The sequence below is a fragment of the Homo sapiens genome, chromosome 5, assembly GCF_000001405.40.
Source record: "Homo sapiens chromosome 5, GRCh38.p14 Primary Assembly".
In the NCBI taxonomy this organism is placed as follows: Eukaryota; Metazoa; Chordata; class Mammalia; order Primates; family Hominidae; genus Homo; species Homo sapiens.
This window is the reverse complement of record NC_000005.10, coordinates 2,639,422-2,663,028: the sequence shown is the minus strand read 5'-3', so window position 1 is coordinate 2,663,028 and position 23,607 is coordinate 2,639,422. Positions and strand designations below refer to the sequence as shown.

Below are 23,607 nucleotides of genomic sequence, written 5' to 3'. Positions count from 1 at the left end.
CAAATCAAAAAAAAAAAAAAAAAAAAAAAAAGAAAAAGGAAAAAGACAGAAATATCAGGCTTCAATTGACATAGGACTGCACCTTCTTAAACTAGACATTAGGCCAAATCATTCTGTTATGACATACCATAAACATTTACGTTTTTCTTCCTAGAAAAACTGATTTTCCTCAATGAAGAACGTTTTTATCAATGGTTTCAATTCATTATTCCTTGTAAGTTACTGATAATTTTCATTTTAGAATTTAGTAGCTTGCTTTTTAAAAAAATATACTTGTATTTAGATACAGCAAATGATTCTGGTTACACTAAGAACATAAAGCTTTGTCTTACATTAACTTTATTAAGTTAAAAAAGGTGAATCTATCTGATGAGCTAGCAAATGGCAAACATGGGCAGGGTCTGGGAGGAGTGGGCAGGCACCTGGCGTCCTCCAGGAAAGAACTGGGTCCTGCCCAACAGTATGGACTCCATCTAAGCAGGGGTCCATCAGAGCCTGGTCAGAACCAGGCAGGGTCATGGCTGAACCTCCCCTCCTTGCTACTGTCTGCAGTGAGGTCAACCCGCGAGTCCAGTGGAGGTGGCAGAGGCGAGAAGCAAGCGTCGGCTTGTTCTTCCCTGGGTGCTGACATTGCAAGCAGGTGCACAGATCCTTATCTTCCTAGGGAGAAAAAAGCAGGAAGCCTCAGAGCCATCTAATAGGGGAGCTTGGCCCTGGCACTTTCAGAGAGCTTGTAAAATGGGTTCATTACTTACACACTCTTCAAAACACAAACACGTTTATTAAAAAGGTTGAAGCAGTAAGCGTAAGAAGCCTCAAAACCACATTGGGCCTAATGCACTGAAGACGATTGTTCACAAACCATTTATTCAAGTGAAAATTGTCCCTCCACGTTTAGGACATGATCCTCCTTCCACCCCAAAGATCTGGCCATCTCTTCAGCATCAGTTCACTTTATCATATACACTGTTTACTAGAGAAAGCTTACATTTTGCCAAATCCCTTTGGCCGTGGGTTTTTATTGTGCTTTTGTAAGGAGAGAATCTCGAAGATTGCACAGGGTTCATTTCCAATTGTAAGCTTCTAAGGACTTCAGTGGCCTCGCCTTGCAGATCTGCTGAGAACTGACCTCAACATTTCCTGAGACTGGTCGTGTAATTGTTTTCAGTTCTTACCTTTGAGCTCACTCTGTTAGCGAATCATTCCACATGGAGGTTGATTTCGTAAAAATAGTTGGTGTGTGTACACAGCACTCTGCTCTTGAGAAGATGAGAACACCAAGACAAGAGTCACCTTTTTTTTGGTGGTGTTGTTGTTTGTTTGAGAAGGAGTCTTGCTCTGTTGCCCAGGCTGGAGTGCAGTGGCACGATCTTGGCTCACTGCAAGCTCCGCCTCCAGGGTTCATGCCATTCTCCTGCCTCAGCCTCCTGAGTAGCTGGGACTACAGGTGCCCACTACCAAGCCCGGCTAATTTTTTTTTTGTATTTTTAGTAGAGACGGGGTTTCACCATGCTAGCCAGGATGGTCCCATCTCCTGACCTCGTGATCCACCTGCCTCGGCCTCCCAAAGTGCTGGGATTACAGGCTTGAGCCACCACGCCCGGCTGAGTCAACTACTTTTTTAAAATTAAAACTTTTAATCATGACTTTTCAGGAGGAGGCCTTATGCTTACAATGAGGAGATCCATGTGATAAATGGAGAATGAATTCCAGAGACAAAATGAGAGACAGTGAGGGCTACAGGAATACATATTATCCAAATGTATTTTTTTTTCTTTCTCACTCTAAAGTTCAAGAATTACCCTGGTTTCCCTACATGGGGGAGCCGGGCCTGGTCACAGCAAGTCCTATGCCTTCTTGGAAAGATGGTGGATTGTTCTGGGTCGAGCATTGCACTACACTTAGATCAAGGTTGCAGATATTCCCATCTTATTGAAATAGGCAATTATTTACTCCTTAGTTTACAAATGGTAAAACAGAAAAACAATTTAGCTGAACGGTGAGTGAAATCTGACATGACTTACGTCTACCCATTGTTGCTTCAGGAGCTATTTATGTTGGTGTTATTTATAGATTTCAAATACATATCATCAAAGACCCTGTGGTTTTAATCATTTTTTATGGAAGTCTGAATGTCACACATAATGCTATTTTTATAAGAAAAAAATCCCCAAGCAAATGCAGCTAAATGCAGTTAAAACCAGGTTACAAAAATATAAAGGAGAAAATGAAAATGTTATTACCATCTTTAATTTTTATTTTCTTGGTGCTCCAGCCTCCTGTGTTAGGAACCATATCACAGGGATATAATCACAGTGGTCTTAATGAAGGCAAATGCTAATTTTTCAATGATGGCAAAAATTAGAAAAACTCTACTGGCTCTATATTTTCGTTTTGTGAAACCAATGAAAATGTAAATGGGCTGTGTGCTTTTGTGTGAAGATTCTCACCCAGCTTTATCGCTCCTCTCCCACCCTCAGCCCCGGAATCCAATTACATTACCCACGGTCCGAGTGCACGGCCCCAGGCTGTGTGAGGGGAAGGCTGGAAAACGAGATGAGAAGCTGCAAGTTAAATTCTTTTCTCTGCTTCCAGGACGTGGCCATGGAAAAGCTTTCCTTTCCTTTTACATCTTGCAAAAAGATTTATTAGCCTTAAAACCAGAAAGAAACAGATCTTAAGCCCTTTTAGAAGCTAACTTGGGATGAGGAGAGATGAGATGTCCTAAGAGTAAACTGGGGTTCCTCCAGGTTGTTTCCTAATAGACATGTTGTTTCTGAGAGAGCTGCCGTCCCTAGGTGTGATCTTGGCACTGCACACAGGAGATGAATGCTTTACTTAATTTCGGCCACTTAGATTTGTTTATAGGCCAGGCGAGGCCACTCACGCCTGTAATCCCAGCACTTCGGGAGGCTGAAGTGGGTGGATCACCTGGGGTCAGGAGTTCGAGACCAGCCTGGCCAATATGGAGAAACCCCATCTCTACTAAAAATACAAAAATTAGTTGGGTGTGATGGCGCATACCTGTAATCCCAGCTACTCCAGAGGCTGAGGCAAGAGAATCACTTGAACCTGGGAGGTGGAGGTTGCAGTGAGCTGAGATTGTTCCACTGCCCTCCAGTCTGAGTGACAGAGCGAGATTCCATCTCAAATAAATGAATAAATAATAAATAAATATTAACAAATAAATAAAGATTTCTGTTGATAGTGTGGATGTTCCTTTACCTTGGAATCCTATCAGATGCTAGCACTGGACACTTCAAAGCCATCAGGACATCCAGAGGTGCTGTCTGTGTGTCTGCGTGTGAGGGAGACCACTACATCCGGCGGGGTGGGGGTGGGGTGGGGTGCACCCCTGGGACAACCTGAGAATGTTCCCTTGGAGAGTAGGGAGTGTTTACATGATGGTTATCAGTTGTAACTATGATGGCAGAACCATCAATTAGCCCTCTACTTGCAAAATAACACCTGGGAAAGCGTCTTCCAGAAACTTGTTTAACCTTTCTTCTCCCCTTCTCTTCAGTGACAGGTTAAGATTTACGATTTTTAAAGACTGTTACAGCACCTGGGCTGATGTTATCACATTGATGAGAAATGCCCGGGGGAGGGGGAGTTGAGCAAGAATTGCAGTTCATTAAGAAGGAACTTTACCCTAAGAGCAAATTTAGTGTTTCGACTAATAACATTCTAGACAACAATTAATTCTGACAAGCCAGTCCCAGGCGGCTGCTTGGATCATTGGTAAGAAGCGCGCCTAGCTTTCCACCCTGGGAGCTAAGCTTCCCAGCTGCACCCGCCCCACCCATACTGATGGGAAAGATGAAGATGGAACTGAGTTCCCAACAGTCGTAATATTTTCAGAAAAGAAAGAGGCTGGGGAGCCACGGAAGACACACCCAAGTTCCAAGTCGCTCCGTTAAGTGGTGAATGTGATTTTCATCCTGTAAAATCTGGGTTCAATTTAGTGTTCCTAAAAAACACATAGGGATAAGAGATTAGATTAAACCAGCTGTCTCAGCTCTGCCTGCAACCTCGGCTGTGACCTGCGCATCTCTGATATTCCGTTCCTGGCCCCTCCTGCCACCCGGACGCCTCTTCATTAGCCCAGTTATTAGAGAGGGTCGGGTGTTTCGCGTTGTGTGGCAGTTCGGCGATGAAACTCGGGTTTATTGGAAAGATGTAATCGGCTGTCCCTGTTTGTAAGGAACCGTAACAAGCGTGCTTTGTGTGCACATCTTGTTGAGAGTCATGTATCTTCTTTCATTCTAAGCTGTCAGCTACATAGCTCAGGCTGCAGATAGGCATCTGATTATGTTTAATGGGCTGCCTTTTTTTTTTTTTTGCATCATTAAGGTATGGCTACAACTCTAAGAAGCTGTGCTTAAGTTGAGGATTGCTAAATTTGGAAGTCTGGAGGTGATCCAGGGAAGGTAAGTCAGTTAACACGGCATGCGGAGGGTATGTGAGCTGCACGTCAGTGTGAGCGGGGGCGGTATGACGTGTTCTTCCTACCACCGGCCCGTGGGATGGGGCTAGGAGCAGAATAGCTGATTGCCAGTGGCTCCAAATAGGACCCTGAACCCACTCAGATGAAACAGCATCTTTTTATAGGCTGTTTAAAAGAATTTTCCGTAATTATAACAAGTACAAAATCAATGAAGCAGAGGGAAATTGAATTTTAGCCCAATAAATCAGTTCATTGTTTTCTTGCATCTGTCCTCCATGTGAGGAGTTTCATGACAAGGATCCCGCTTGCCAAGGCCCCTGACGGGGGGTGCCTCAGAGATGGGGATCACTCATGGTTTTGGGGGGGCTCAGCTAAGCTTGGGATGATTGGGGAACTTTGGTTGGTGTCCACAGTGCAGCCCAGACAAGGCCAGGGTGGGGAGACAGGGGCCGTGTGCTGAGGCTTCGGGAAGGCCCAGCTCCACTGGGAGGTCCTGGAGGGGCCCTGGTCTCCCTCTTGCTCAGTTTCACTGACCTCCAAAATGAGATACATAACGTCCCCGCCAGGGCCATGGGGAATGGCACAAGGCGTCCCTGAGAGAAACATCTCGAACGTAAACGAATGCTACCAAAGTCTCAAAAGTGGTCTTTGCTTCCTTTCCACTGGGAATGTGATGGACTGTGGCCAAAGGCTGCCATAAGTTAGCTGAAACAAATAAACTTAGATTCAACTTTTACTTGACCCATGTGCCTTGCAGAGAGCCACATTCCAGAGGCCATGAAGCCACCTTTGGTGAAATACAGAGCGTGGCAATCAGATAATGTTGTTTGCATGGGAGGATGAACTTAAAACCACGATTTTCAATGGCCCTGCTACCTGCTGGGGGTGGGTGAGGAAAACTTTCTCCTCCTCCATCCTCCAGAAGTGCTCCTTCCCTGCCAGCCCTTCAGGAGGAAGACGCTGTGCAATCACTGGACAGGCTCTAAGGAAAAGTCACTGCTCCCTCTCGCTCCCATGGCAAAGCTGGGAAGACACACTCCATTTGGGGTCAGGCCTGGTTTTCACCTCTGCTCCCTCAGCGGCACCCGAGCACACCCATTGTCCCTTCAGACGCACACCACAAGCCTGTCCACTTGAGGGCTGCGCTGGCTGCCATAACTTAGGCTTTGGCCTCACAGACCTGCAGCCGGGCCACACCCGCCAGGTGCTGGATCTCTTGTGGTCCTTGGACACACTTGTTTCTCACGTCCCTTCGTTGGGCACGGGGCTCCTGCTGCCAACCCTTTACCCCTCATGGCGGGTAGACCTGCTTCTTCCAGTGCGTTCATTCCCCACCGGCTCCTGCCTCCGCTCCTTCTATCTACCTGGGGAGGGCCCCTGATGGGGATGGAGTGGATTCTACTGGTGACAAGGAGGATGAAGCACAGAAACGCCATCAGGACGGTCATCTGGGAGCCACCATAGGAGGGACCGCCTGGGAGTCACCACGGGAAGGGGCCGCCCGGGAGTCACCACAGGAAGGGGCTGCCTGGCCGCCAGGACCAAAGCCCCCTGCCTGGGTGAGCCAGCCTGGTGGCCTCGTGAGAGCTTCCCGGCATTTCCAGTCCCTGTTTTAAGGCAAATTAACAACGGCAAGGGCAACAACAATGAACTGAAGTCAGTCCCCATTTTTCTAGTATCACGTCTGCACAGCATCAGCAGCACGGATAAATAACAATGCCACACAGGGACATTTAATCTCCCTCAACTGACTTTGTATTTGAGTGGGGCACAGATGTAAGTGTCCTCATCACCTTTTCATGTCCCGGTTTCCTCGTCTATGAAATAAGCATCCCATATTGTCTGTTCACCTTATCTGCTTGGTGATATGTTCATCTGGAGTAGAACTGGGATTTAAGATTTTTTAAGGATGCCATAGTACAAGGCATTGGCATTCTTTCCTTATTTCCCCCCCACTGTTTTTCCCCTGTGGTCTTCCTAAGGAACTAGCATCAGTCACTTCGCCCTCTGAGAAATGAACTGAAATGCCTGTGAAATGAGTCCTGGGTGTGGAGGGAGAACTGAAGGTTGCAGATCCCTGCTCTTCCACATTTCTCCATGGGGACAGGACATGAAGTTTGCAGTTCATCTCGTATTGACATGAATGGAGGAATGAGCTTCAAAAAGGAAATGAGTCAGAGTCTCTGGGTTTGGGAAAATTCCCGAAGGCTGGCCGGGGGTGATAATGACCTCGGGAAAGCCAGGAAAGCCGTGGGCTGCACTTGGCACAGACTTTGCCGACGCCTTCCGACAGGTCTTGTTTGCATAGAGTCTCATCCAGCTGAGTTCTGCTTCAACGTAAAAACATCCCGGGCCAAAAATCAGACCAAGTCCATTGAGGCTCTACGTCTTTGCGTGGCATCTGTTAACAGCAATCCATTAGCCAACACCTCTGAGGTCTTGGAAGGCAAGTACCGCAATTTCTATTTTTGTAGCTGCTCAAAAAAGGGAGGGTTGCCACTTGTCACACTGTCAGAAATTATAGCATTATCGTTTCCTGGCTGGCTCAGAATTCTTGGCTGGGTCTCCTTTTAAGTCTTTTGCCCTCATTAAGACCACACTTTCAGCTGGATCACAAGGAGAGCCTCCATTGCAGGGTAAACTTCAGACTTCCCTGAAGACCATCATCTCTCCTTCCAAACTGCAGTGTTCAAGGGATCACCTTCTGATTTCTTCCTTAGACTTGCAGCTTTCTCGAACGTGTCCTCCGACATATCATCTGTTTAATTCCTGTTTTTAAACTTTGTTTAAAGGCAAAATTTTCCCACCTTGTCCTGAAAATTGGAGTAAAGTCCTGCTCTCATCTCCTTTCACCTACTTACAGAGGGAGCATTTTTAAGAAAAGAATAATCAGGTTTTGAAGGAAAATTCTTCAACCCAGTGGCTTAAACAATAAAAAAAGAGGAGACACTCCTCTTGAGATTTACAGAATGACAAAAAGTAGTTTTATTCTTTAAAGAATTACCTAGTAGAACTGAAAGTGCCTCCAGGCTTTGGTAAATATAAGCAGTCATCTCTAAAACAACAGAGAAATTAATTCCATAAAGTTTCCAGGTTCTCAGTGGTATAATTCACCATTGAAGCCAGTAATCTTGTCCCTATAAATCTAAGTCCTTCCCAGTTACCCTGGCCTGAAAATACCCTTTCCTCCTCTCTGCATCCCATCAAGACCAGTGTTTAAAGCTGTGGATGCCCTGGCTGGAACAGGGTGAGAGGCAGTGATCACCCACATTCTCATTTCAGACGCTCTCTTGGTTGGTGTGTGGGACACACAGTCTATGCGATATTTTTGCCCATAATTTGTTCATCTCTATAAAAATTAAAAAATATATATATTAGATCTGATCATATCACGTGAACACAATAGCTTCTTAAATAAGTCCTTAAAATAAAACCCTTATAGAATACAAATTACTTATCACATTCCATTAATCTGATACTCCCACTAACTAGCAGAGTAACAGATTTCCAGTGCCTATCTCTTAAATCCTGTAATTAAAACACGCTAGTTAGTGTTTCTGAAGGTCCACTTAGGACAGCGCAGTTGGATGAGTGGAGCCAGGGAACAGGGCGCCTATTCAACTTCTGGAAAGTTACATTTTGCAAAAATGTTTCGCACCAAACAAATCAAAAGGCAAAAACAACAACATGGTTAGATGCCTGAAACCACAGGTTACTATCAAGCAGCAGCAAATCAAAAGTTATGGGAAGTTTAATTTTGATAATAATGGAGTGAGATAGACATCTTTTTCTGATAATGGGGTTTTTTTTCACTGTCCTTTGCTGAGGGCTCTAACACTCTTTGTAGCTTTTCTCACTGGTGACCTCTTTTTCTCTCATGTGTCTATTCTGACAATGGCAATCATTCTACCAGGGACTGTGGTTTGATTGCTTCTGGAGCCATCGAACAGTTCACAGTAAGTATTCCAGTTCCTCTCTTTGGGAACTCCTGTGGGACTTCACTTCCCGTCTCTCGGAAGCCAGGGGTGTACAGGGGACTTGCGCTGGTTGGGAGATTCCAGTGGAGGTGGTGTACGTTGCTTCCACGTGGACATTCTAAGAGCTGGTGTGTGGGGGCCACAGCCTCCCTGCCTGCATCCCAGGGAGCATGTGCAGAGGTGGGGCCTCCGTCAGCCCAGGCTCCTGGGTGACCAGGATGAGCAGAGGTTGTATCCATCCCCCTCACCCCTCACCTACACACCTTGTACAAGTAGTACCAATGCTTTAGAAAGAAAACTCGGTTGTTTAAATCCACTGAGGTTTTAGGCTGGGAGTTGCCATAGCATTGTGCCCCAGACTATTCTGCTGGCTGCAATTACTGGTGGGCGTTTTTGTGGTAGAACTGCTTATCAACCAGCTGCATAAATCTCTGATAAAAGCCCTTTGCATTCTGTTTAAAACATGCTGAAAGCACTTGCTACGAAAGGTTCATAGGTTAGCTTCAGTATCATTTCTTAGCAACTGTCTCACGAGTGACAGTTCAGGAGGGCAGGTTTTCCTGGAAGACGAGGGGGACCCGGGAGTCCGTGGGCAGCTGGCCTGACAGATTCAGCCTGCATCCAGACATGGCATTTTGACTGGTCTCTGTGGGGACAGGATCCAGTAGGGTCCTCGTGCCCACGCATCACTCAGCAGGACTCACCCTTACACACAAAGGGAGATGTTTCGGTTATTCAGAAGACGTCCAGTTGTAGGGTGGTAGTAAATTCAAGGAGAACCCAAAGAGAGTTGATATTTGAGCACTGATTTTCTTGTGAATACATCCTTTCATCCTGGCTGACAGCCACTGGTTTAAGGCAACTTCAGGGAAAATTATTGAGCTCTGTCAGAGTTAGGGACGGGGCTGGTCTTTATTTCTTAGGGGCCATTACTCTCTGTGTCCTAGTGGAAAATCTGCAGCTGAGAATGGATGCTGAGTGCCCCCAGAGGTCTGTTCAGCCAGCTCTTCATTGGGTTAGACACAGAAGGAGCATGGATGGGAGCCCTTCTGGTTACGCCACAAGTGGTCTCTGGATTAGAAAGAGTGGCCCCAGAAGGAGAGCTTTGAATGTGCGATGAAGGAAAATGGAACAGCAAGAGAAGATAAGCCTATTGAGTGGTTCCTTTGATTCCCCTATCTCTTGTTAGATGAGAGGGAAGAGATTGGGAGGCTGGGGAGCGGAAACGTGCTGATTGCTATCAGGAGGAAAAAGCGCAACTCAGTAGGAGGACGCTCATGGAGAATTTCAGACTAGGGATCGAGGGCATCAAACAGATGTCCACAAGCAGATGGCCTAAAGCAAGTTGTGGTCTCTTCTGGACGTGGTTTTAATTTTGGAAAATAATTCAGTATGAGTGACCAAGAAGTATCACAAGGCAGCCTGGGAAAGAAACCAAGATTCAACTAGATTGATTTACCCTCTCCAACTTTCCATTAAAATATTATTATTATTCTTTTGCTTTCCCTAGATTTATCACATTAAAATATTATTGAAGAGACAGAAGATGAAGAAAACATACAGACTCTTGGGTGAATTTCAACCACAAAACCAGTTTAAACTGTTCAATATCTATCTGTCTCCATATATAGGAAATGTAGCACTCCAGGAAAAATGAGAACATAGCTTGTCCCTTCTCTATTGTCTAACTCAGGGCCAAGAGATCCAGGGTGGATACCTGGAAGAAAACAGATTAGACATCCCTTTCTGAGTGGGGTAAAATTCTGTTTTCCACATCCTGGGCTGGTCACTCTTTCCACCCACTCAGCTTATGCAATGCAATGTCAAGGAGAGCATAGGGGGCAGGTGGATGGAGTGAAGGCTGGTTGATAAATGCAAGGGAAAAAGAGCAGAAGATGAGCTGCTACAGGAATTAAAAGAAAATGTTCCCATATCTTTTAATATTCTTAAAGAAATGTAAGAATGCACGGTCCCTGGGAAGCAGAGGCAGCATTCTGAAAGATAGTGCAGAGATTGAGACATGGGAAGACACTGAGGGCATGAAACGTCCTTCAGGCTGGCATTAAAAGACACAGATGAGTCAGAAATGGTAAAAAGTACAATTTTGAGAGAAAAGATATCTCCTGCACTTGAGGAAACCAGAAGCAGAATTTACACCTTAAAAAGTTAAATCAGATTTCAAAGTACAGATGGAGCATGTCTCTAAGAAAGTGGGAACATAGATGATGAGAAAAAACTGATTTAAAAAGAGAGCATGATGTATGTGGAGAGTAGGAAATGAAAGCTCAACCTAAGAGCCATAGCTCTCCGAAGGAAGAAATTACAAGAAGTAGAAGAACAGCAGTAACTGAAAAGACAATGGGGAAAAAATAACTTTTTCAGATGGTAAGAGATTATATGGATTAAAATGGCTTTCAGTGTTCTAGGCAAAATGACTAAAGAAGTCCCCATCTAGACACACTCACACCTACATGGACTCTGGCAATTTTTTAAAGCATATATATAATATGTATTTGTATATGTGTATATACATATACAGCAATATATACACATATACACTGTTGGTGGGAATGCACCTTAGTTCAGCCCCTGTGGAAGGCAGTTTGGAGATTTCTCAAAGAACTAAAAATAGAACTACCGTTCAACCCAGCAATCCCAGTATTGGGTATAAACACAAAGGAAAATAGATTGTCTACCAAAAAGGCGACTGCATTCATATGTTTATTGCAGGCAGCACTATTCACAATAGCAAAGACATGGAATCAACCCAGGTATTCATCAACGGTGAATTAAATTTTCAAAAATGTGGTACATATACACTATGAAATAGTATGCTGCCATAAAAAAGAATAAAATCATATCTTTTTCAGCAAAGTGGATGGAGCTGGAGGCCATTATCCTAAGCAAATTAATGAAGAAACAGAAAACTAAATACCATATATATATATATGTATATGTATACCTGCAAGCATTTAGAAGAATAAAAATAAGAAGTTAAGTTAGCTCAGCTTTCGGTTCTGTGCTTCCAGCTGACGGGAGGTCAAAAAATAACTTGACACGTGAAGACCCAGGTGACTTACACCAAGATTTCAGTCTTTTAGACGTCATCTTTCATGTGTGAAAATGTTCTGAGGAAAAAGCCTGGAAAATAGACCACCTGTGTATGTTTCCTGAAAAGAAAGTACACTCTCTAGCTTTTGGAGACAGAAGTTACATAAAATCAGTGTGAGGCACCCACGCTACTGAGGACACACATGTGGGCCTGGAGCCAGGAGGTCCTCTGACTCCCTGAGAGGTGTGGCTCCTTGGCCTCTAAACACCAGCTCCCATTGCAGCTTGCAAAGAATTCTAGAGCAGCGGTCACTTCTGGTTCGTTGTGGTTTGTTTCTTGCCAGTTTGTTTAAATATTGCTGATTTGTTTTCTTTTCTTGATTTTAACTTCAGGAAGTTAACATAACTTTTCTAAGTTACAAATAAGGAAAGGACATTTAAAAATTTCGTGCCTGGGCTATAGGCTAAGAAATGTGGACCAAATATTTATTGTTATTTGGGGACAGCTGACACGAATGGCAGTTTTATTTCTCTGTGCAATAAAAAATTACCTTAAAAGCTGAATCTGTCTATCTATTATCTATCTATCTATCTATCTATCTATCTATCTATCTATCTATCATCTATCTCTATCATCTATCTATCATCTATCTATCTATCTATCTATCTATCTATCTATCTCTCTATCATCTATCTATCATCATCTATCATCTATGTGTCTGCCTATCCCTATATCCTTCTATGTTTTTAATATGCTGATAATTGTTCATTTTCATGACCGTGCTTATTGGACATGCTGTTAAGTGGATTTTTTAGTGGAAATATGAGAAAGAGTAATTGGTGGCGATATTGTTCTTGAATCCATGCAATAATACATTTATAATGATCTAAGAAAGCCCTGCAGACAAAAATCCTTGCACTCTAAGACCCTGCCGATTGGTCTAGCTTTCCAGCAAATCTGCAAATAACTATCACTCAATCTATCTTTTGACTCCATTACCTGTGGCACATTATCATGGCTATGATATTTTAAAAATAGTTTCCGCTATCATGATCTTGTAACATAGTTGGAGAAGCAAGCATTCAGGAGATGAAAATGTACAGGAGACAAATTGTCATTCACCTCCAATGTTCCCCTTTCAGGGACCTACAGTTTCTATCTCAAAATTGCTACAATCTTTCAGGGATATAATTGAACAATAGTAATTAAAATTTAAAATTCATCCTCCCTATAATCTAGCATTCCCAGTTGGAGAAGTTTGCTTGATATAAATGAGATCACTCATGACTAAAACACCAAAAACAATTGCAACAAAAGCCAAAATTGACAAACGGGATCTAATCAAACTAAACAGCTTCTGCACAGCAAGACAAACTAGCATCAAACAGGCAACCTACAGAATGGGAGAAAATTTTTGCAACCTACCCATTTGACAAAAGTCTAATATCCAGAATCTACAAGGAACTTAAACAAATATACAAGAAAAAAACAATCCCATCAAAAAGTGGGTGAAGGATATGAACAGACACTTCTCAAAAGAAGACATTTATGTGGCCAAAAAACATATGAAAAAACGCTCAACATCACTGATCATTAGAGAAATGCAAATCAAAACCACAATGAGATACCATCTCACACCAGTCAGAATGGCAATTATTAAAAAGTCAAGAAACAATAGATGCTGGTGAGGCTGTGGAGAAATAGAAAAGCTTTTACACTGTTGGTGGAAGTGTAAATTAGTTTAACCGTTGTGGAAGACAGTGTGGAGATTCCTCAAGGATCTAGGACTGGAAATACCATTTGACGCAGCATTCCCATTACTGGGTATACACCCAAAGAAGTGTAAATCATTCTACTATAAAGACACATGCACATGTATGTTTATTGCAGCACTATTTACAATAGCAAAGTCATGGAACCAACCCAAATGCCCATCAGTGATAGACTGGGTAAAAAAATGTGGCACATACATACCATGAAATACTATGCAGCCATCAAAAAGAATGAGATCATGTCCTTTGCAGGGACATGGATGAAGCTGGAAGCCATAATTCTCAGCAAATTAACACAGGAACAGAAAACCAAGCACTGTATGTTCTCACTCATAAGTGGGAGTTGAACCATGAGAATACGTGGTCACAGGGAGGAGAACATCACATACCAGGGCCCGTCAGGGGGTTGGGGGCACACGGAGGGAGAGCATTAGGACAAATACCTAATGCATACGGGGCTTAAAACCTAGGTGATGGATTGATAGGTGCAGCAAACCACCATGGCACATGTGTACCTATGTAACAAACCTGCACATTCTGCAAATGTATCCCAGAACTTAAAGTAAAAATAAAATAAAATAAAATGAAATAAAATAAAATAAATAAGATCACTAGTCTGCAATAATACACATCTTGTTTAAAATTAACATGTCTAATATTAATTTATTAAAATTAACATGTTTGTTGTTTAAAATTAATTCAGATGTTGAATAATAATGGCATATAGATACTACAAGATATAATGCGACTTTATTAAAAAGAGTATCTTAAATCTCTACATATTGGTATGTAGGGTGGCCATAACACGTTTTCTATGGAAAAGGGGGAATTTCAGAATCCTCCATTTATATTTGCGTGTTACTGAAGTAAAACAGTTCCCAGGAGTGTCTGCCCCACACTGAGCGGTGTGGACAGAGCAGGAAGGGGTGCAGGCAGGGGTTACTGACCGGGCAGTGGGAGGCTCAAGGGTGACCGTGGATGTTTTCTTTACATACCATGGAGTAGTTTCAGTTGTTACAATAACCATATCTAGTTGTGAAATTTTAAAAATAAAGTGAAATAAATCTAAAAGCAAATAAAATCTACTTTAATCAAGTGATTCACCATCTGAAAGCCATCGGTGACTCTCAGCCACAGCATTCAGCTGGAAAGTTCGAAGCGTGTCAGGCAACACCACTTGCATCTGGATCCTAACTGCCTCTCCAGCCTCGTCTTCTACAGCCTGGTCCCAATCCCACCCTGCAGCTCATCACAGGGTCCTCCTGCCAGGTACAATCCCCGCTTTTGCTCACATGACCCCACTTAACTGGCATAATTCTCCACCTCCCCTCTCTCAAAAATTGCTTAAATCTTACCCTCTCCTTAAACCTATTCTAACATACTAGCCTGATTTCTGCTTCCTCAGAAAACTTGTAGAATTCTTTACCCAGGCACTTCACTGGGTAATTCATCCCTGAGTGTCTTGTGTCATTTATTTGATACAGACCACTCTCTATAGTATAGTTTCCCCATTCGCAGAACTAGAAACTGGAAGGTAGCAGTGCATCAGAGAAGACGATGGTGAGATGAGACTTTGCATCCCCAGCCAAGATGTGGTTCGTCTTTCGGGACAAATGTAAATGATTCTGCACATGTGAGGAGTTTGAGAGAATGTCATCCTGTTTTCTGTGTAAAGAAAATAATCAGGAAGTAGCTTATCAAATGACAACGGAATCAGAAATCTCAAGACACGAAAAGACAAAAGTCAGGATAGAATTTCAAGCCGTCAAACTTACAGTATTTTATTCCTCGAACTTACAAGCAAATTAAGTATTAAAGAATGCTTTAGCAAAACCCAGGTATGTGGGAGATGCAGGAATTTGGAGAAATGATAAATTTAGGTGGTAAAGGGCCAGGGTGGGCAGATTAACCTGGTAATGGGCACAGCTCTCCTAACTAGGCCATAACTTAAGGTTGTCACAGCAGAGCAGCAGAATAAACAGAAACTTTACTAAGATTACAAATTAAGAAGAGGAAGAAGCAGCAAAAACATGGTGCAACAGACAGGAAACATGAAATATGGTGGGGTAGAGCCCAGCCCATCAGTTATCAAGTTATGGAGCTGAAGGTGAGTGGGCTGAACACTCACATTGAAGTGTTCAGGGGTGGATTGGATTATAAAAGAAAATACAGCTCTGTTGTTTGCAAGAAACTCCTCAAGATCAAGTAACAAGAGAACATTGAAGGCATGGGTCAATGTATCCCACTGAAGAGAAGATTGAAGGGATGGGCCAATATATTCCACTGAAATCAAACAAAATGAAACCAGAAGTAGAAATGTTACCACTGAATACAGTGGACGCAAAGGCCCAGCACACCAGACAGCACTTACAGCAACATTCCATCATGATAAAAGGTGCCATCTACAAAAAAGCTGTGGCATTCTCATTTTTTAAAAATAAAAAGCAGCTGAATATAAACACAACATGTGCGTTTATATCCATAGAAAGCAAAGATGATGCAATTACAGTGGTAGGTTCAAATATGCTTTGTTCATAATTTGACAAATAAGTCAGTGTTTCTCAAACTTATTTTTCATCACTGCTATCCGATGAGCTTTTGTAAACTTTTCCCCTCACTTGCTGCCCACACAGATGTTATAGACATATAATATATCTATCGATGTATTATGTGCACTGAGTATCATGCTTCATATGTGAGAAAGTAAGGGTTTTGCCCCCATAAACCAATTTTTGTCCCTTCAAGTCACTATTACTCCTGTCTCGAATGCATGAAATAAATTAATTAGAAAAAAATGTATAGGAAGTGTGAATAACACAACCCATAAGTCTGTCAGCTGAAGAATGACGAGGTTCCTAAGTTGGAAAGGAGAATTTTATTTTTCATCAAGGGTTGTATCTGGCAGGGTGGCCATTCCACAGGCTGGGAAGCCTTGGCTCTGTCCAGAAGCCTGGAACAGGCACTCGGAGGGAGGGAAGAATCAGACAGGATCTGTGTGGGAACAGGGTGGCCAAATACTCGTATTCCATAAGCTGCAGGAGGAGTTGTGGATACTCATGGAAGGAGAAGCGTGTGCATGTGTAACTGAGCTCTGTGCCTCTCCATGGGACCCATGTTCAAAGCACGGTGGGATTAGCATGAGCCCAGGGTGGAGTTTTGGGGCCTCTGAAGTCAAAAGATGAAGCAGAGGCCATGGAAACCCTCCCTGAGCACCCTCCCCAAACTGGCCAGAACCACTCTGGGGTCGGTGGTCTCCCATCAGGAAGGAACCTGGTTGCTTGTTTTGTTGATATCTCCAAGAGGGGAAGAAGCATCAGGCAGGTGGTTGATATCAGGTGTGGAGGATTTTGGCAGGGCTGGGTTCTGTTTGCCCTTAGGGAAGAAAGCCAAGCCTGGGTGGTTAGCGAGGGAGGGTCAGAACGAGGCGTATCCACCACCCATCCCATCATGGCCAGAGTTCAGTTTTCTTTTTTGTTTGTTTGGTTGGTTTTTGTTTTTGAGACGAAGTCTCACTCTGTTGCCTAGGCTGGAGTGCAGTGGCACCATCTCGGCTCACTGCCACCTCTGCCTCCCAGGTTCAAGTGATTCTCCCTCCTCAGCCTCCCGAGTACCTGGGATTACAGGCACTCTCCACCATGCCCAGCTAATTTTTGTATTTTTGTAGAGATGGGGTTTCACCATGTTGGCCAGGCTGGACTTGAACTCTTGACCTCAGGTGATCTGCATGCCTCAGCCTCCCAAAGTGCTGAGATTACAGGTGTGAGCCACAGCACTCGGCCAGAATTCAGTTTTCAAGGTTTCTTTGGGGTCCCTTTGGCCGGGAGGGGTCTGTTCCGTTGGCTGCTGTGGGGCTTAGCATTTCGTGTTAATTTCTCAGGGCCCCTGAAGCGATAGAGACTAGAACTCTAGGGGCAGCAGACAAAGCCGCAGAGGAGGGGAGTTCCTGAGATGCAAAGACCCCCGCATCTGAGGAGGAAACCGCACATGCGGAAGCCCCGGCTTCGGCTGAGGAGGTTTTGTGCCATGGGTGACGCAGTCCCTGAGCTGTTCCTCAATATAAGGGCACCCTGGACAACAGGTTTGAGAAACAACGTCCAACCCAAGCCACTGGTCACTCCAAGGGGATGCCAGTGCTCAGTGCGCTGCAGCCCCTTGTGAGGCTCGAGCATGGAGACCAGCAAGCAGTGTCCTAAACTCGACCCGCTATGGAGGCCGTTGCTGGGGACTTCTAGGAACACCCCATGGAAGAGCCTAGAGAATCTTGTGTGAGAAATGCTGCCTCCATGCATGGACTTCCTCATTGCTTCCAGCAACTAAACTAGACAGAGCGAGAATAGAAATAGGATTAGACAATGTCTCTGACTTTGAACTTGAGCTTTTTCCCTCCCTTTTTCCCTTTCTCTTTTTTCCTTCTTTCTCATGAACTACGTTTCAAAACTAAGAAAATTGAAAATATAAAAGGAAGGAAACATTTAAAGAAGAGCGATCAACTCCAAGGCAACCCACTCTTGTTGTCCTGCTCCTCTGGGGTCTCTGTTGGAACCCAGTTCTGTGGCATCCCCGCCATGTGCCAGGCCCTCATTTGATCCCCCGGGAGGACAGGGTCACAGGTAGCAGAGACAAGACGTGGTCTGCACTCCCTGCCCTTACAATCCATCCTGGAACTTGACTTTCCACATGTAATGACACATATGGTGTCAGTGCTACAGGAGGGCCACGCCTGGTGTGCAGAACAGAGCAAGTTCATTCCTACCCTTAAAAGCAGTCTCACGGTTTCATCTTTAGAATAAAATCACATAAAGAATGGAAAGAAGGGCATGTGTTCCAAATGCGACGTGGAGGAGTAGAAAGCTGTTCTGTGAAAACCATAGAGCTCGTTCCAAGACCTGCTATCCTGGTTTCTTTTAGAGGAAAATGGTGCCATCTCTCCATAACTCGACGGTGATTTGGAGCTGGGACGAGAGCGGGTGGAGCTCATGCTGGCCTGCCTTATGTCGCCGTGAACACAGTGTCCGCCCTTCACCAGGCGCTGCGAGGAAGTTGGAATGGACGGTGTCCAGGGGCACAGCAAAGTTAAGTCAGGTGTACTGCAGGTCCTCATCTGGCTCCTGTGGTCAGTCCCAAAAAGCCTAGGAGATTCTGGACACAGAGGCATGTAAGCAGAGCCTGTCAACATCTGCACAGCCCTCACAGGAAGTTAGGAGAGCAACTGGGAAGGTCCTGGTGTTTCTATCAGACTTGTATTAGGGACAGTGTCAGCCTCTGCCTGCTGTCCTGGAAGGGGGCTGTGGACCAGAGCCCAAAGACCTTTTACAGGAGCACCAGGGCCAGGTCCCTTTGTTCTTGAGCGTTCTGAATCTTCAGTGGTGTAAACTGCGAGTCAGAACTGGAGATGAGGGTTTGATGCCTTTGTGAAGTTCTCTGTAGACTCGTGGAGGAAAGCACTGTGCAGGGATGAAGAGCTGGACATAAGATACCATTTTCACTAGGGTTTTGTGGTTTTCCAGGGTCTCCTTTATTATCTGAGAAGGAAATGGCACTGGAATGATGCAGCTTCTCATGGGACCTGCCATTTATGTGTCATTTGCAGTTGAGAAACTGAATCTATGCCTGATACGGCTGTTGTTCAAAAATTATATCTGAGGGCATTTTTAACTCACTTAAGAGACTGGTTAAGATTCATCGGCGAATCAGAGCTTTGGGAGGAACTCCCATTCGTATTTTCTTGGTGCCGCTAGATCCTGCCTCGACAGTATTGAATTTTGCATTTGGCTTTAAAGAAATAAAGCAAAACCTATGAAAAAGTCATCGGCATTATGACCCAAATATCCAGTTTTATTTAGCTTTGCAAAGCCTAGTTTCCTAAAAAATGGTGATGTCCACACCACCGTCTTTTGTTCAAGAGAGATGAGTTGAGGTTAGCTTGAAACTTTTTTCCTTAGAAGCTGCTAGGATGTGTTTCCAAGTAGCTGAGGAGGTGACACCTGTGCATAGCACCTCCTGAAATTGGACATCTACCCCTGGATTGATGCTTTGCTTGGACATCCTGAAAATATGATAAATCCACTCTCAATGCAGGGAGCTCGAGGAGAAGAAAAGAGACCCATGCAGACCTCTGAGTGATGAATACAAAGGCCAAACTTGAAGGACAATTGTCAGGACATCACTCCGCTTCTGGGGGGTAAACTGTGAGGCGCCAGAGAGAGAAGAGTGTGCTATTTCTCCCCTAAAGCTGAAAGGAGGTTTTGAGAGCTTCCTGCTGCTCCCTGCACCTCCGATTGCCACCTCCCTGGGCCCGTTTCTGCCATCACTCACTGCCCACCAGGCCGGGCAGAATCCCACCACGTTGCAGGTGGGGCCGGCTGCTGCCAGTGGCAGAGAACGAATGACATATTTATTAGCTTGTCAAAGCCTCCCCTGTTTATGGAAGGCTCACCCAGCTAAACAAAACAGTCTGCTTCCCATTGGCTCAGCCCAGGGCCCCTGTTGAGAGCTTCAGCAAAGTGCTTGATGAGGCATAAAATGATGATTAATTAATTTACTGCTCAGCTGATCATCACACTGCGAGGTTTATGGTTCTCCCAGCGGTCAGCCCGCGCTCTGCGGTGCGTGGCCGCGGCTGCCTTTGCTTTGACCTAAGCTCGGAGACTCCTGGGCAGGGAAGGAGGCGGAGGCGGGAGCCGCGTCTCCAGAGACCCCAGGCAGCGGGCACAGGGCGCAGCGACAGAGACACTCCCAGCTGGTCATCAAGACACACTTGCCCTGGGAACGTCGCCGGCATCCAGGGCGGTGGTGAGGGCCATTTCTTTACTGGTGATGTGCTTGGAGCCGCATCTCAAGGGCCTAGCTCTCTACCTCCACAGGAGAGCTGAGCAGTCTGCAGTCTCCCGTTCCCCCTCGTCCTGGAGGACAGCACCCAGCACCCTCGAGGGCTGTGTTTGCTTCACAAGTTGAGTACAAGGGAGGTGCCGGGCTCACCCTACTCTGGGCAGAGGTCAACATCAAACACGCTGCGGAAAACATTGCAATCATGCAGTTCAATGAAAGGAAGGCTTTGAGGAATGGGGTCTTCTTTCTTCTTTCTTAATTTTAGCTCTACTTAATGCCTAAGTGATTCTATTTGTTGGATTTTAAGAGTTCGGGAAGTCTAATTTTACTGAAGTGAAAGTAATATTTCAAATGAGAGGTCTTGGTTTATATATACACTTTCACATCACTGTAAAGAATAGATTTACAAGATGGAATCCGTTTATGTAGTCAATGGTAGACCGAAATGTTCACATCCCTGAGGGACACCAGTGAAGAAACGCACTGATGGGTGAATCACCTCTGTCCTGAGGAGTTCACCCTCGGGGCACCTAAACACTACCACGCAGGTTGCATGGCTCGGAAGCCACTGCAGCACCAAGTCACATGAGTGTTGGCTCTCGTTCAAGGGACGCCTTTCCACTCTGGCCCCTCCATGGCAGGCAGGGACTGGGGTCCTGAGGAAGCTCCACCCATCCTGCAGGCCCAGCACGTGATTCTGCATTCTCCGTAGGATGTCAGGAGCCCAGGCTCCTGTGTACTGTTGATGTAACCTTCCTCCTCTGGCCCAGGCCACCTTCCAGAACTGCTCCCGGTGGACCCTGTAGGCTGCTCTCCCGGTATCAGCAGAACATGGGTGAACTCCAGGTTGGAGAAGCCCTAGAGACCTTGCAAGACAACTGCTCCCTGCCCCCGCCTTGCCCCTCCAGGCTTTAGGGTGAAGAAGAGGCTCAGACACTGACCTCACCGACCTGAGATCGCACCTTTGGCCACGCCGCTCTCTCCGAGAGAATCACAGCCAGTTCAGCTGGTGACTGAGCAGAGCCTGTCCGATGGACGCCACGGTGAAGCCATCAAGGGGAGGCACGGGGTGGTGGGGGCCAAGTTCTGTTCATAGCAAGTGACCTCTCCAGGTGGTCTGCTGGGAGGAACAGGTGCTGGCCCAGGTGGGTGGTCCAGGGGGTAGGGGTGGTGGGCGCTGGGCCACCAGGCCCCATTGCTTCTGGGACCAGACCCCACTCCTGGCTTCCAACCGGAGCAGGCCAACATCACCCAAACAGATGCTGCTGTCTAATCGGGGACACAGCATTTCACAAAGCATTGTTGCCATGCATCACAAACACCACTTCAACCCGTGGGACGCTCCTGCCACCATTCCGTCACCCACCCAAGACAGCTCAAGGGGCAGAGGGGTGCCACCTGCCATGAGTCAGGACCAGAGGGCCTTTGCCTGTAATCCAGGTCACTGTCACCCTTGGCTATTCAGGGGTGTGAAGTGAATTAAGGAAGCTATAATGTGAGAAAGTATTTTAGAAATGTAAATTTCACAAGGGGATTTCTCATACCGGGTTTTCCTCAGAAAAGGGGCTCATGGTCCATTATGGTTGCAGTCACCTGAGATTCTCAGTATAGTCAAACGTGAGCAGCACTAAGAAGCCCACCAGCTAAGAAGCCCACCAGCTAAAAAGCCAGTCCGATTTTTCTCATGGCAACCCTTCCCGGACTTGGAGCACACAGAAATCAGCATTCACCTTGCAAGGCCCGATTCTCTGGGCAGCACAAAGCCCGTGTGCCTTGGCCCACACTGGGAAAAGGTTGGCCTCCTAATTGAAGGCATTAGAAACAACCACATCTTCATTGAATGCCAATGTGCAAAGTGACTCTAGGGACTGAACAAGGCGTGGCGCATTGTCTCCTTGCAGGAGGAGCTATACTGGCCTAAGGGACTAGGCTGACAGGGATCAGGGCTGGAGGGGGAGCCTCTGAGTGGGCCTTCAGGGAGCCCTCAGCAAGTGGCGATGGGTGCTGGATGTTCCTGTAGAAGGAGCCACGTGGGAGCCACGGGTTCTGTGCCTTGGCTGCTGTCCAGAGTTGTGCATGGCCAGGTCCTGGGAAGAACCCCAGTGGCCTGGGGACCCGGGCTGGCATTGGATGTCAGGGGTGAGGGTGCATGGGGAGGCCATGGGAGAGGAGCACTCTGCAGTGAACCTGAACCTGGGGCAGGTGGTGCATGCTCACTGGGCTGGACTGGCACTGAGAACAGGAAACAGATGCCACCTTGAGCTGCCTGGGAGTGGAGTGGCAGCCTGAGGACAGGTCTGGAGACATCTAGGCTTTCCACAGTCAAGGGTGGAAGCCCTAGGTGCGAGGGCAGGGGCAGTGCTGCAGAACAGCAGAGGTCCCAGCTGCCTCTCAAACCCACTCAGTCCCTACACCCAGGGCACAGCCCCCACGGGAACCTATGACTCCCTGGAGCCCCACAGTGAGGACGTGCGGGCAGCTCGGCCACACTCACCTGGGCATCTGGCTGGGACCCCAAACGTGCAGATGGTTGTGAAGATGGCAGAAAAATGTGCTGTCCAAACATGTAGGGCAGTGATGGCCCTTGTGGCGAAGACTCCCTCTGGATAGAACAGGGCAGTCCTTACCTTTTCGGGTGATTTGAGGAGACGATGCAGGAGAATGATCCAATGCTTGAGGACAAGGAGGAATGCCAGGCAAGCCTTCCACCTTTGTTTGCTTCCTCCTGCCGCCTGGGGAAGAAGTCTAAGCACTCGGCCCAAGGGGAACGAAGGGACGTGTTGGGTCTTTGGTGGGTAGGTTTGTCCCCAGGTGACTGTAGGGGCTCGGCCGGGGGCAGTGGTCATCGGGGAGTGGGTTCCAGCCAGCATTGGGGTCGGATGGAGAAACACAGCCCTCCTTACTGCTATCGCTTCCTCTCTCAGGGCTGAAAATAGAAGTGCCTGGAGTTGGTTATTTACCCCTAATTTACTGCTTCTCTTTTGTTCTTTTCAAACCCCTGCTTGCATTTTCTCCAGTTTGAAAGGGTCACTTTGGTGTCACCAGGATTATAAACCATCGTCTCCATGAGCTCATGCAAGGGGGAGGCTCTCTACAAGGGGCGTTTTGAATTTTCTAGCATACACACACACACACACACACACACACACACACATATATACATTTCTTTTAAAAATTAAAAACTGTATTTTGCCAGGCCTATGCATGGGGCAACTTAAAACCAGAGTTTAATTTTTAGAGAGTGGCTAAATGTGGCTGAATGCTTTCTAAGGCCAATTATGACATCATCCCAGGAAAGGCCGTCTGTGCTAATGGGGCCGCATTCGCTCCCATTATGGTAAATAAGCCCATGTTTCACACAACGGTGCAATAACCCCATCTGGCTTGCACCATTTTCTCAGAATTTTTTTTTCCTACTGACTGTTAGCCATGTGTCCAGGATATTCAAGCTAATGAGTGCCATGTTTCCTTCTGAACACAAACAGTTGAACTCTACAATCGGGACTTGATCAAAACTTTCAAGTCAGAGAG

At 45.9% G+C, this 23,607-nt stretch overlaps 3 annotated features.

The window, feature by feature from the left end:
- Positions 3,793 to 4,992: an enhancer, noted in NCBI's record as "MED14-independent group 3 enhancer chr5:2658151-2659350 (GRCh37/hg19 assembly coordinates)". NCBI's record gives its function as "activates an origin of replication core promoter dependent on BRD2, BRD4, P300/CBP and CDK7 cofactors, and independent of MED14, by STARR-seq in HCT116 cells {active_cell/tissue: HCT116}" and the evidence as "EXISTENCE:reporter gene assay evidence [ECO:0000049][PMID:35650434]".
- Positions 6,234 to 7,433: an enhancer, noted in NCBI's record as "MED14-independent group 3 enhancer chr5:2655710-2656909 (GRCh37/hg19 assembly coordinates)". NCBI's record gives its function as "activates an origin of replication core promoter dependent on BRD2, BRD4, P300/CBP and CDK7 cofactors, and independent of MED14, by STARR-seq in HCT116 cells {active_cell/tissue: HCT116}" and the evidence as "EXISTENCE:reporter gene assay evidence [ECO:0000049][PMID:35650434]".
- Positions 21,770 to 22,288: an enhancer, noted in NCBI's record as "H3K27ac-H3K4me1 hESC enhancer chr5:2640855-2641373 (GRCh37/hg19 assembly coordinates)". NCBI's record gives its function as "activates a minimal SCP1, AML or CMV promoter by ChIP-STARR-seq in primed H9 embryonic stem cells {active_cell/tissue: H9 hESC(primed)}" and the evidence as "EXISTENCE:reporter gene assay evidence [ECO:0000049][PMID:30033119]".